The following is a 14,111-nucleotide window of genomic DNA, read 5'->3' on the forward strand; positions in this document are numbered from 1 at the left end:
AGACGGGGTTTCATCATCTTGGCCAGGCTGGTCTTGAACTCCTGACCTCGTGATTCACCTGCCTCAGTCTCCCAAAGTGCTGGGATTACCGGCTAAAAGTTATTTTTTTTAAATACTGTTTTTTGTTGTGTTTGGCAATAAAAATCTGTTTCTTTAGCTTAATGCGAACTAGTGATTTGAAAGAGATTTACCTCAAATGCCTGCTCACCTCAAATGTACATTTCCTAATTCTTGCAGCTGGGTTTACACAGCTAGGAAGATTACAACTTTGCCACCTTCTTCTCTTCTTGCATGTTTAGAGATTGAGGGTAAAGCAGAGATGAGAGAGAACATCTTCTTAGGTCTTTCTGAGCATTTGCCTGGCCTTTGACTGACCCTGAACATGCTTATGAGCTTCTAGATTCTTAGAAATATGTGGACAATTTTCAAAGCCCTAATCCTACAAGCACTTCACTCCTCAGTTTTGTCTCATATATACTACGTGACTTTTGCTTGCCCAGATTGATATTCTTTTTCCCAGGTATAATGAGTAGTTAATTTGTCCTTAAATATTTTTGCCAAAAATTAGGTTATTGATTCTAAATTGTTGTTTATGTTTTATGTAGGTGTTTACTGCTATGAATTTCTCTGAACAGTTTGCTGCATCTCATATGTTTGATAGGTTGTGGCTTCATTTTCATTCATCTGAAAATATTTTCAAATTTTTTTTTTTCTTTGACACATTAGTTACTTAGAAGTATGTTTTATTTCCACATATATGTGAGTTTCTCAAACTTTCCGCATTTATTTATTTTTACTTTCTATGAAAGTCAGAGAACATACTTTGGGTTATGTTTATCCTTTTAATTTATTGATGTTTCCTTGCTGTATGGCCTACCATGCAATCTATCCTGAAGAATAACCTATGAGTACTTCTCTTTTTTTTTTTGAGATGGAGTCTCACTCTGTCACCAGGGCTGGAGTGCAGTGGCACAATCTCAGCTCATTGCAATCTCTGCCTCCTGGGTTCAAGCTATTCTCCTGCCTCAGCCTCCCGAGTAGCTGGGATTACAGGCGCCTGCCACCATGCCTGGCTAATTTTGTATTTTTAGTAGAGATGAGGTTTCATCATCTTGGCCAGGCTGGTCTTGAACTCCTGACATCAGGTGATCCACCCGCCTTGGCCTCCCAAAGTGCTGAGATTACAGGCATGAGCCACCGCACCCGGCCACCTATGTGTACTTCTAATCTTGAGAGGAGATTTCTGTAGAAGGCTATTTATATTTGTTAACAGTGTTGTTCATGTGTTATATTTTCTTGCTGATATTCTGTCTAGTTTTTCTATTATTTAAATTCAGGTAGAAAAGTTTCTGATCTGACAACCTCGGCCATTGGATTTAATTATTTAACCCATTCATAGCCAATGATATTATCAATATAGTTGGATTTACACTGGCCATTATGCTTTTTGCTTTTTTTCTTTTTGAGATGGAGTCTTGCTCTGTCGCCCAGGCTGGAGTGCAGTGGCGCTATCTCCGCTCACTGCAAGCTCCGCCTCCTAAGTTCATACCATTCTCCTCCCTCAGCCTCCCGTGTAGCTGGGACCACAGGTGCCCACCACCACACCCGGCTAATTTTTTGTATTTTTAGTAGAGATGGGGTTTCACCGTGGTCTCGATCTCCTGACCTCGTGATCCGCTTGCCTCGGCCTCCCAAAGTGCTGGGATTACAGGCATGAGCCACCGCACCCGGCCTCTTTTTCTTTTTTCTTTTCTTTTTTTTTTTTTTTTTTGAGACAAAGTCTCACTCTATCACCCAGGCTGGAGTGCAGTAGTGTGATCTCCACTCACTGCAACTTCCACCTCCTGGGTTCAAACACTTCTCCTGCCTCAGCCTCCAGAGTAGCTGGGATTACAGGCACCCACCAGCATGCTGGCTAATTTTTGTATTTTTAGTAGGGACGGGGTTTCACCATGTTGGCCAGGCTGGTCTCGAACTCCTGACCTCAGGTGATCCACCCACCTCAGCCTCCCAAAGTGCTGGGATTATAGGTGTAAGCCACCATGCCCAGCATATTTTTATTCTTCCTTTACTGCTTTCTTTTATATTAGATACTTCCCATATAATATTTAAATTTCTATAGTGATTGTTTATGTTTTTGCAGTTACTTTCTTTTTTTTTTTTTTTTTTTTTGAGACGGAGTCTTGCCCTGTCGCCCAGACTGGAGTGCAGTGGCTTGATCTTGGCTCACTGAAACCTCTGTCTCCCGGGTTCAAATGATTCTTCTGTCTCAGCCTCCTGAGTAGCTGAGAATACAGGCACCTGCCACCACGCCCAGCTAATTTTTTTTATTTTTAATAGAGAGGGGGTTTCACCATGTTGGCCAGGCTGGTCTTGAACTCCTGACCTCATGATCTGCCCACCTTGGCCTTCCAAAGTGGTGGGATTACAGGCATGAGCCACTGCACCCAGCTACTTTCTTATTTTCTCTAGGCCTTATAACATAGATCTTTTTATAATCTGCTTCATGTTTATATTAACTTAATTCCAATGAGATATAAAAATATTACCTCTATATGGTTCTTTTGCCTTGATTTAGACTGAATTTAGTTTTTATCAAAATGTATAGGGTAAGCCCTAACCTGCAATGTGATTCTTTTTTTTTTTTTTGTATTTTAGTAGAGATGGGGTTTCACCATGTTGGCCAGGATGGTCTTGATCTCCTGACCTCGTGATCTGCCTGCCTCAGCCTCCCAAAGTGCTGGGATTACAGGTGTGAGCCACCGTGCCTGGCAGAGAACAGCAATTTTAGAAAGTGATTAAGTTTAAGTAAGTTTATGTGAGTTGGATGGAAAAGCCATAGGCACTCAATGCCAGCTTGTGAAAGCAGCTGCAGGGGCTGTACTCTGCAGAGCCACAGGGGTGGAGCTGCCTAAGACCTTGGGAGCTCACCCCTTGCATCAAAGTGGCCTAGATGTGAGACGCCAAGTCAAAGGAGATTATTTTGGAACTTTAAGATTTAATGACTGCCCTGCTGGGTTTTGGAGTTTGATAGACCCAGAGCCCTTTTGCTTTGGCAAATTCTCCCTTTTGGAAGAGGAATATTTACCCAATGCCTGCACATGCATTGTATCTTGAAAGTAACTAACTTGTTTTTGATTTTACAGACTCATAGGTGGAAGAGGCTTGCCTTGTCTCAGACAAGACTTTAAACTGGACTTTTGAGTTAATACTGAAATTGGTTAAGAATTTGGGGGACTGATGTGAAGGGATGATTGTGTTTTGAAATCTGAGAAGGGCATGAGGTTTGGGAGGGCCCAGGGGCAGAATGATATCGTTTGACTCTGTATCCCCACCCAAATCTCGTGTCAAATTTTAATTGTATTAATATAGGTAGGGGTCCAGTTGTGTTCTGCATAAGATCAGCTTTAAACTTTATTTTTAAAACAAAAAAAGAGCCAATTTTTAATGATAAATTATTTTGCTTCTTATTTTTCAGTTTGGAGAACCTCTAGTATATTTATAATATTTTATAATTTATTGAATTTATGATATCTTAATACATGAGATAATTTAAATACTTTATAATATTTCAAGTGTCATTTTTTCTTATTTCGTTATGAAAATTGCTAATAGATACATTTTTTTCTGGTTATCACAAAACTATCTGAAAATGTGACATTTGCCATTTATCAAATCTTCATTGTTAATACTTTACCTGAATGGGGGCTTGTAATATGTATTATAATTTTTCATGTTGTCTTAAATTAATTCGGTTTTATTATTTTATTTTATTTAAAAAAGCTAAACTTATAAAATTGGTTGTATATTAGTTTAGGTGAAATTGCTTAGTGATGAGAGAAAAATAATTTGCAAAATATAGAGACTGGATAGTTTTTTTAATTTTTTTTTTTTTTTTTTTTTGAGACAGAGTTTCGCTCTGTCACCCCGGCTAGAGTGAAGTGGCTCCATCTCAGCTCACTGCAAGCTCCGCCTCCTGGGTTCACGCCATTCTCCTGCCTCAGCCTCCCGAGTAGCTGGGACTACAGGCGCCTGCCACGGCGCCCGGCTAATTTTTTGTATTTTTAGTAGAGGCTTGTTTTATAATTTATAATTTAGTGTTAGCCAGGATGGTCTCGATCTCCTGACCTCGTGATCTACCCGCCTCGGCCTCCCAAAGTGCTGGGATTACAGGCGTGAGCCACCGCCCCCGGCGGATAATTTTTTATAATAAAAATGTTCTTTATGTTTGCCCCTTACCATTTTTTTTTTTTTTTTTTTTTGAGATGAAGTTTTTGCTCTTGTTGCCCAGGCTGGAGTGCAGTGGCGCGATCTCGGCTCACCACAACCTCCACCTCCCAGGTTCAAGCGATTCTCTTGCCTCGGCCTCCTGAGTAGCTGGGATTACAGGAATGCGCCACCACGTGCGGCTAATTTTGTATTTTTAGTAGACGGGGTTTCTCCATGTTGGTCAGGCTAGTCTTGAACTCCTGACCTCAGGTGATCCACCCGCCTCAGCCTCCCAAAGTGTTGGGATTACAGGCGTGAGCCACTGTGCCCAGCTGCCTATACCATTTTCTTTGAAAGTTGAAGTTTTAACTCCCTAATTAGGAAACATATTCATAAATGTGACTTGTAAATACTGAAATTTGTGTTTGCTTTTTCTGCCTTCAGTAGAAATGGTGTTTTCTAGCATCTATGTCTTTTTAAAATAAAAGAGAGGATGGAAGCAGAATAGGTTGAAAATGCTATTAACAAAATGATGTTGACAGAGATGATCTATCTGGTCTACCAGGGCATAAAAATTTCAAAAATCATAATCAGTACAAAACCTCTATGTCCGTTAATATTACAGAATATTGCTTGTGTTAAAATCATTTATGTTGGCCGGGCGCAGTGGCTCACGCCTGTAATCCCAGCACTTTGGGAGGCCGAGGCAGGCAGATCACGAGGTCAAGAGATCGAGACCATCCTGGCCAACATTGTGAAACCCCGTCTCTACTAAAAATACAAAAAAAAATTAGCTGGGCGTGGTGGCGCGTGCCCATAGTTCCAGCTACTTTGGAGGCTGAAGCAGGAGAATCGCTTGAACCTGGGAGGCGGAGGTTGCAGTGAGCCGAGATCGAGCCACTGCACTCCAGCCTGGGTGACAGAGCGAGACTCCGTCTCAAAAAAAAAAAAAAAAAAAAAAAAATTATGTTAAAAACTCTGCCTCGCCGAGTGCGGTGGCTCACGCCTGTAATCCCAACATTTTGGGACGCCAAAGCAGGCGGATAACGAGGTCAGCAGTTAGAGACCAGCCTGGCCAACATGGTGAAACCCCGTCTCTACTAAAAAGACAAAAAAGTAGCCGGGCGTTGTGGCGGGCGCCTGTAGTCCCAGCTACTCCGGAGGCTCAGGCAGGAGAATGGCGTGAACCCGGGAGGCGGAGCTTGCAGTGAGCTGAGATTGTGCCACTGCACTCCAGCGTGGGTGAGAGAGCGAGACTCCGTCTCAAAACAAACAAACAAACAAACAAAAAACAAAACAAAAAAACTCTGCCTCTCATGCATTTAGTAGAGATAAAGTCAGAGGGCAGAACCCTCCGCTGATCCTTATCAGGACACCTGAAGTACAGATGATATATTTCTGTTTTCTCTCAAACTCCATATTGGATACAGTTATTCTGCTTCTAATCCATATTATTACAGTAATGCACAGACACGGGATCATAAAAGAACTTGCAAGCTTTTTAAAAAAGTGTTATATTTTACACATGTGTGTATGTATTTGTAGACAGCTCTGTCATCTTGGCCAGAGTGCAGCTCAATCAAACCTCAAAATTCTTAGCTCTCAGCCTCCTTGGTAAATGGGACTTCACGTACACACCACTACAGTGGCTAATTAATTTTTTTTTTTTTTTTTTTTTTTTGTAGAGATGGGGTCTTATTATGTTGCCCAGGCAGCTCTTTTTTTTTTTTTTTTTTTTTTTGAGACAGAGTCTCCCTCTGTCGCCAGGCTGGAGTGCAGTGGCGCGATCTCGGCTCACTGTAACCTCCGCCTCCCGGGTTCAAACGATTCTCCTGCCTCGGCCCCCCGAGTAGCTGGGAATACAGGCGTGCGGCATCACACCCAGGTAAGTTTTTGTATTTTTGGTAGAGACAGGGTTTCACCTTGTTAGCCAGGATGGTCTCGGACTCCTGACCTCTTGATCCACCCACCTCGGACTCCCAAAGTGCTGGGATTGCAGGCGTGAGCCACCGTGCCTGGGCGATTCTATTTTATTCGTTGATCTTTTGTGGTGCTTTTACAATTTTACATCTACATATTATAAATCCAGTAACAAAGAGTCATAATTGTTGCTTTTAATAGTGATAGGTTGCTTTAAAACTGAAGGGTACAATTTAGTCAGATACTTTGGTGCTATGCAAATACAATGCTTATTTTTTAAGTGTTATTTACAATTTTTACACTCCTCAGTTAACCTTGGATACAATAATAACTGGTGGTTTTGTGATGGTTTCTTTAGCATTTTATCTATGTTGATTAGTATTTGGAATTCTGTAAAAAAAAATTTCCCTATCCTTTTTTCTTTTTTATTTATTTAAAGTTTTTTGTGTATCAGTGTAAATGCATGGGTATTTATTTATTTGACTTGATTTATTTTATAGGTCAGTGCTCTAATTATTCATTTGGATGCTAACATTGTTCCAGGATGGACCATTGGGAGTTCTTTCAGGCTGGCTCCCTTTGACATGTTCCCATCATTTTTTAAAATTAAAAAAAAAGAAAGAAAAAACATTTTGAGGCTGGGTGCGGTGGCTCACGCCTGTAATCCCAACACTTTGGGAGGCCAAAGCGGGCAGATCACCTGAGGTCAGGAGTTCAGGACCAGCCTGGCCAACATGGTGAAACCCCGTGTCTACTAAAAATACAAAAAATTAGCCGAGCATGGTGGCGCGCGCCTGTGATCTCATCCAGCAGTGCTTTACTTGTAATTATTTTATTCCTGCTGCCGTCTCCTCTTTCTTTGGCCACTATCTGTTCCACCCCCGGAACGGAAGAGAGATGTTGGTAGGGAGAGGCTCTTCCTTCACCTCTGGCAGAAAAGGTTTGCTTGGGCCCTTCACACCGCTGACATCAGAGCTGCACTTCAATGTGGCAGTTATTGGCCATGTGTGGCGCCTGGTCTGAAGTGCGATGCTAGAAAGGTAAAATACAGAGTTAGTTTCAAAGATTTAGTTCCAAATATTTATATACTTTATTAATAATTACATATTTCTCACACATTAAAATGAAAATTTTTTTGATATATTGGGTTAATTAAATTGTTACAATCAATTCAACCTGTTCTTGTTTCTTTTTCAAGTTTGGCTACTAGAAAACTTAAAATTCACATATGGCTCACATTTTATTTCAGAGGATTACCTCCTTTCTAAAATCTCAGCCTGCCTGCTCAAAGACCAGAAAGAAGCCAGGAAGGTCATAAAATCTGAAATTTTAAAATAATTGTTATTATAAAATTATATTTTTTCCTTTGTGAAGAGCCATATATTATTTATAAATGCATATGACTTTACACACAAGTTTAAAGGCAAATTCCCTCTGGGGTGGGCCTGGCTCAGCTCTGGGAGGAAGCCCTGCCTGAGAAGGCTGCAGCCTAGGCTGTCACCCTTTCTTCACTCAGCCCAGCAACTGATCACATCTTCTGTCACTCAGGGCACGAGAAGGTGGGGTTTTAAAAGTTATCCAATCAGCGACGCTGGGTTGGGAACCGTCCAATCAGGCCTGCAGCTGGAGCGGACAGGACGGCTTCGGGGATGTGGCGGGGCCTTTGTCTCTCGCTGCAGCTGGAGCTGCAGGTCTCGCCTTCACTGCCCTGTGTCCTCTGCTCGCAGAGGCCCAGCCTCTGTGGCCCTGTGACCTGCAGGTATTGAGAGATCCACAGCTAAGACGCCAGGTACCCCGGAAGCCTAGAAATGGTGAGAGTGCCGGGTCCGACATCCCGAGAGAGGGGAAGGGGCGGGTTGTAAGCGGTGGGAAGTGGCTGTGGTGGGACTTAGGCCTCCCCGCAGTCAACTCTACAATCTGCGCCCGGAGTTCTCCTTGCTCAGCTCGGCCTCAGTCCCCTTCAGCCATAAGATGGCGGCTGCGCTGACTGCGGGATCCCGGGCGTCCTGTCTTTTCCCTGCGCAGTGACTGGGCCCTGACCTGGAGTCCTCTCAGGGCAGCTCTGGACCCTCAGCGGCGCGTCTCTCCCGGATTGTGCAGGGACCACTGGAGGGTCCCAGGGGTAGAATCCTGACTCGGGGTGCGGGTTTATGAATGGGTCCGTGGGGTTCCAGTTCCTCTTCTGTTGAAAATGTATGGGAGTCACCGTTAAAACACTAAAGCATTTAATCAAAGCGTGATTCAAAAATTGTGGAGCACCCAGCTGTGGTTTGTAATTTATGGTTTATGGGCGGGGCTTGAAGTAAAGACTTTTATAAACAGCATGATGAAGAAAACCAAATTCAGTAATTGGTTAGGTTCAGATACATAGTTTCTTAATTTGTAAAATAAAGGTGAAAATTTCCTGGTTATGTAATTAGATGTTAATTGGCAGTTTATAGTTGGTTAAGGATGAATTTTGTTTCTCTCAATGTAGTAATTTACTAAAAATGCACCTCAGTTAGATTTTTTTTTTTTAAGATGGAGTTTCGCTCTTGTTGCCCAGGCTGGAGTGCAATGGGGCGATCTTGTCTCACCGTAACCTCTGCCTCCCGGGTTCAAGCGATCCAATGCTTCAGCCTCCCAGGTAGCTGGGATTACAGGCATGCGCCACCACGCCCGTCTAATTTTGTGGTTTTAGTAGAGACGGGTTTCTGCATGTTGGTCAGGCTGGTCTCGAACTCCCGACCTCAGGTGATCTGCCCTCCACGGCCTCCCCAAAGTGCTGGGATTACAGGCGTGAGCCACCGCGCCCAGCCAGATTTTTTTAAAAGTAGGAATCCAGGGACTAGAGACACCTCAGTCTAATTTCCCGCCGCTTAATTATTTTCACACTCCATGGGGAACTGATTTTCTGGTGCATTTTTCAACTGTGTCCCAAGCACTGTCTTAAATCTAACCTCCCGTCCCCCATATCTCCAGCCTCACTCTGGCTTGCAGTAAGATATTAAATTTCCAGTTCCTCCTGGCATTCCCTAATGCCAGCTTTTCCTCCCTAATTCACGTTATCACCTGTTTGTCTTTTAGTGTACTTTTGTATACCATATTTTAATTAATTATTTTTTGACAAAGCTTTAAATGACGCTTTTTAAAAGGTTTGTTACCTGTTTGTAACTTTCCCATGAGAAGAAAGCAAAGAATAATCCCCTGACACTGTATTGTAAAATTTCTCTGTGCCTCTTCTCCTTGTATCTTCTCTAGGTACAAAGATCTTGTCAGAATGTTTTTGGGTCAAGGTATTCCTTTGAAACCTTTATGAGGTGATGTGTCCTCAGCCACCCTTTAGTTTTTTTCTGGTCGTGGGTTTCAGTACTGTCTGGGGATCAACCAAGATATCCACCATGGTTATGTCAGCTAAAGTGCCTAGTGAATATCAGCTTCTGGTTTATTTTCTTCCATAGGGCGACCTGAGGTCTGGAGTGTATCCTCTCAAGGGAGCAAGTGGATCCCTGGGGCAGAGAGGAAGCTTCTAGTGTACTCTTACTTTGAAAAGGTAATCAGATGCTGGTACTGAGGGGAAAACACAGAAATAACATCTGCCTCCTGGATTGTCTAAGGGGTAGAAATATAATGAAATAAATGTAGTGAAAGAAAAAATAGTGTTAAAAAGAAAAAAAAATTGTGACAGAAAAAATAGTATCCCAAAAGACCAAAAAAGAAAAAAAAAATCAAGCAAACAAACAAAAAACACAAAAAACCTGACTCCAGCAGTCAGGATTTTTTCCAGCAGTTCCATTAGCACTTAAGTTTTCCCTTTTGGAGAAGAAAAAGATCCCCATGTCCTATGGTCTTGTAGATGCCTAATTCTGTCACCCATAGCCATCAGCAAGGTTAACTGAGATGGTGTAAGAGCTTGCAAAGTAAAATGCCTCTGGAGCAGCCACCGAGAAATACTGCAGTGTCTCCTGAATGGGTGCTTCTTGAGCACATAAGTGAGTAGGAGTGGGTGGAAGAATCTCTCAAGTGACTGAATAGCCTGACTTGAAACATGAGTCACACACATCTGTTATTTAACCATCATTGCCACTTCTGGATTTGTCACCTTGAAGAGATTTGTTCACTTATTTTGACCTCAGTTTTTTAGCTGTAAATTGCATTATATTAGTAGGGCTTGAAAGGTAGGAAATTTTTTTTTTTTTTTTTTTTGAGACAGTTTCACTCTTGTTGCCCAGGCTGGAGTGCAGTGGTATGATCTCGGCTCACTGCAACCTCCACCTCCTGGGTTCAAGTGATTTTCCTGCCTCAGCTGGCCAGGCTGGTCTCAAACTCCTGACCTCAGATGATCTGCCCTCCTTGGCCTCCCAAAGTGCTGGGATAACAGGTGTGAGCCACCACGCCCGGCCAGCAGGAAAATATTTACAAAGGGCATAAAAGAGATGGGTTTTAGAAAAAGAAATTAATGCTTAATTATATATTCCATTTGTTAAAAATTCTCATTTACCTTTTTCTTTCCCAGAGTGAGTTTAAAAGGTTTCTCAGGTGTGTTTGTTTTTTATGGCTAGGTGAATTCAAACAGAATTTCAAGGCTCAGCTTTTAGAATGCTAGCTACCGAGGAAAAGAATAGGGAAAATCTCTATTCTATTTTGGCTGTAGAAAATGAATACATGTCCATAAGAAAATGTGGTAGATAATTGGTGAGTAAACATAGATTCATGAAAACATCAGTTGCTCTATCTGCAGGATAGGATTTTTGACAGTGAATATCTGTGTTCACATCCTGTTATCTTGATTTCTGAGTTTCATGCTACATTTTATGAGATGAAACTTGGTACCACCTAGAAGTGTTCCCATATGACTAATTGTTTACTACATGATTTTTAATGAAAACAATACAATAATAGATATATTTTCATAAAGGAGTAGATACTTTTGCTTTTTTTATTGAGGTATAAAATGTAAGTACCTTAAAATTTCCTTCCCTTATATGAACACTGTGTTTGAGTAATTTTGCTGGATTTTTCAAACACGTAGTTTCAAAAACCAAGTGAGTAACTCTAACATGGAAACTAAAGCTTGAGCCCAGTGTCTCAGAGCTAAGGCTAATATTGAGCCTACAAAAGGAGGTTATTAAAGGACCAGCTAGTTTATTTATGGGGGATGCTCCCCTGCAGATGTCCAGTCTGCTCACCCCAGCCATGGAAGAAGCCTTTCTGCTGACAGAGCCCTGGAAAGCTGAGGACCCACAGGCAAATGCAGTTAAGGTTAAGATGAAAGGGGACTGAGAGGGTCTTACTGATGATAAAGTTGTTATTGTTTTGAGGCAGTTTCTAGGCTTTGGAATATCAAACAAAGTTAGGTTTATGTAAAAAAAAAAAAAAGAATTCCAAAGGAGTATTGCAACAGGAAAAAGTACCAACTATAAAAATTTTAAGGATTGCATAGTTTAGGCCAACAAGGGCTTTCTTTCCTAGGGAGCAGCAAACAAGATTAGAAAGAAGGCAGGAGAGCAATGGCAAATGAAGGGTGAAAAGTCAGATTTTAAATCAGAGAATGTTTTACCATGAAATCAGCATGTTCTTAGAAGAGACATAAAATGAGATTTTATGTTGACTCAGACTGAGAATAGTTTAAAGTTCTGGGGCCTGTGAAAAATTTTATTTAGACCACTGAAGACAAATTCAGCTGAATCTTTTAATGGGAAAAAGAAGAAAATGTGCAGAGTTCTTACTAGAACAAGGTCCCAATTCAAGCCCCACAAGAGGGTTCTTGATTTCGCTCAAGAAAATATTCAGGGTGAGTCCACACAGTAAAGTAAAAGGAAGTTTATTAAGAAAGTAAAGGAATAAAATAATGGCTTACTCCATAGGCAGGGCAGCACCGAGGGCTGCTGGTTGCACATTTTTATGCTTATTTCTTGATTATATGCTAAACAAGGGGTGGATTATTTATGCCCCCCAATTTTAGACCATATACAGTAACTTCTGATGTTTCCATGGCATTTGTAAACTGTTACGACACTGGTAAGAGTGTAGCAGTGAGGGTGACCAGAGGTCACTCTCGTCACATCTTGGTTTTGGTGGGTTTTATTTGACTTCTTTACTGCAACCTGTTTTATCCGCAAGGTCTTTAAAACTTGTATCTTTTGCTGACCTTCTATCCTGTCCTGTTACTTAGAATGCCTAACCATCCAGGAATGCAGCCCAGTCAGTCTCAGCCCTATTTTATCCAGCCCCTATTCAAAATAGATTTTCTCTGGTTCCATATGCCTCTGACATCTCCCCCTTCTTTTTAACATGGGCACACTTAATCCTAAGAGTTGTAGAGGGATGAAGATTCATTTTCTGTAACTACTTCATGCTGAACAGGGGTGATGATATTTTTGCCTAACTAGTCAGAGTCTTCTTGACCCTGAAAAACAAAACAAAGGATCAGTGACATTTTATGCAAAGTCAAAAAATATAACTTCAGTCTTCTATTAGTTCAGTCCATTCAGTTAATTCCTATTCTGTTTGATAGTCATGAACATTTCAGTTCTCCATGAATACTGAAAGTTTTTTCTGTATTCTAATGTCACAATTTCTAAAGTTACAACAAACTTGCATTTGAGAACATCTGTCAAAGTCTTAAGTTAACTATAAATCATCTTTTGAAGAGGATCAACACAACTTGATTGTCTGCATGGGAAAGTCTTAGGGCAGTCTCAGCAAAAAAAAAAAAAAAAAAAAAAAACATGATCGACAAGGAAATTTGGTTAGCTCTGTGGCATAAAATAATTTTATGTAACAATTGTGATTATTAATGATATACACTTAGTCATTAGAATTACAGGAGTTTCCCATAATTTTGGAACACATACCAATAACATATTTACAAAAACAGTCCAAAAATAGTCAAACATGATTTCACATTTGACATGTTTTCTATGTGATTTTTTATACTAAATGAGCCAAATTTTACTATTATATTTGTGTATTATTAATGTCAAACCCAATTCTTAATCTTTATAGACAAACCTATCCAATTTTAGTATTTGACCGTAAGGTAATATTCTTATAAACCTTTTATAACTCTTTACAAAGTCCTTGTTGTTTAAGAGTAGATCAGTGCTTTAAGAGAAACCTGTTGTTTTTATCTCAATGTTCAATTTATAGAAAAACTGAATAATACCCATTTAACTTTATATGTTCACACACAGAAACTCTTTTGCAATTAAATTTTAGCAAATCTTTCACAATTTGTTTAAACCTTCAGTTTTATTCTAATTTAAAACAATCCTTTAACCTTTTAATCCAGGCAAAAAAGTCCACATTTCCATGTCTTCTTATAATCTTTTATCAAAAACACATTTCACTTTCTCTGCATACCTTGCATGTAAAACTGTTTTTTAGTAGTCAAAGTTACATGTTACAATGTTAACTCTTAGCAACTTTTACTTTTGATGAAACCCTTGGTAAGTAAAGGATTTTAATTACGTACTAGGCGTGGAGTCCAGGACACAGACACAAGTTTATATAAGGTCTGACTCCAGTGTATTAATAGTTAGGGGGTGTGGCTAACTTGATGTGTCCCAGGCCTTACCTAGCCGTAAAGCAGGCAAGTTGTACAGTGAACAGTGATAGTGGCATTTTGAGAAGTCTTTAAGAGGCCTAGTAACCTTTAAATTGTACAACATTTCTTGCATAAATTTCTTTTAGTGAATTATTTCATGACTTATACAGACCATCTATAATATGTTTGGACTCTCTGATTTGTCCTAAACATCCATCTTTTTAAATAACCAGTCATTTTATTTTAGGATAATAATTTACTATACAACATCTTTTCTTATATAAAATCTCTTTTCTTTATAACCTTTGTATATTTAGGGGGCATGGCTAATTCCATATGTCCCAAGGCCTTATTTGGAATCTACTGGCTTCAAGATAGGTAAATTGAACAATTTTTAAAAGTCAAAGAACCAATTTATGACCTTAAAGTATTTGGCAAATCTAATATCTGACCT

The 14,111-nt window shown here is 40.4% G+C and overlaps 1 protein-coding gene across 4 annotated transcripts in view, besides 1 other annotated feature; it reads left to right on the top strand.

Moving 5' to 3' along the window:
* Window positions 1-7,794: 7,794 nt before the first annotated feature.
* Window positions 7,795-14,111, top strand: part of ZNF714 (zinc finger protein 714) — a 42,892-nt gene continuing 36,575 nt past the window's right edge. For all 4 annotated transcript variants that reach the window (NR_117087.2, NR_117086.2, NR_117088.2 and 1 more), the window contains exons 1-2: window positions 7,795-7,940; window positions 9,570-9,661. The gene's annotated coding sequence lies outside the window, so the exon portion shown is untranslated. The remainder of the gene's footprint in view (window positions 7,941-9,569; window positions 9,662-14,111) is intronic.
* Window positions 8,134-8,283: an enhancer, noted in NCBI's record as "active region_14381". NCBI's record gives its function as "activates an Ori minimal core promoter by ATAC-STARR-seq in GM12878 lymphoblastoid cells {active_cell/tissue: GM12878}" and the evidence as "EXISTENCE:reporter gene assay evidence [ECO:0000049][PMID:35858748]".

This window comes from Homo sapiens, chromosome 19 (assembly GCF_000001405.40).
Source record: "Homo sapiens chromosome 19, GRCh38.p14 Primary Assembly".
Taxonomy (NCBI): Eukaryota; Metazoa; Chordata; class Mammalia; order Primates; family Hominidae; genus Homo; species Homo sapiens.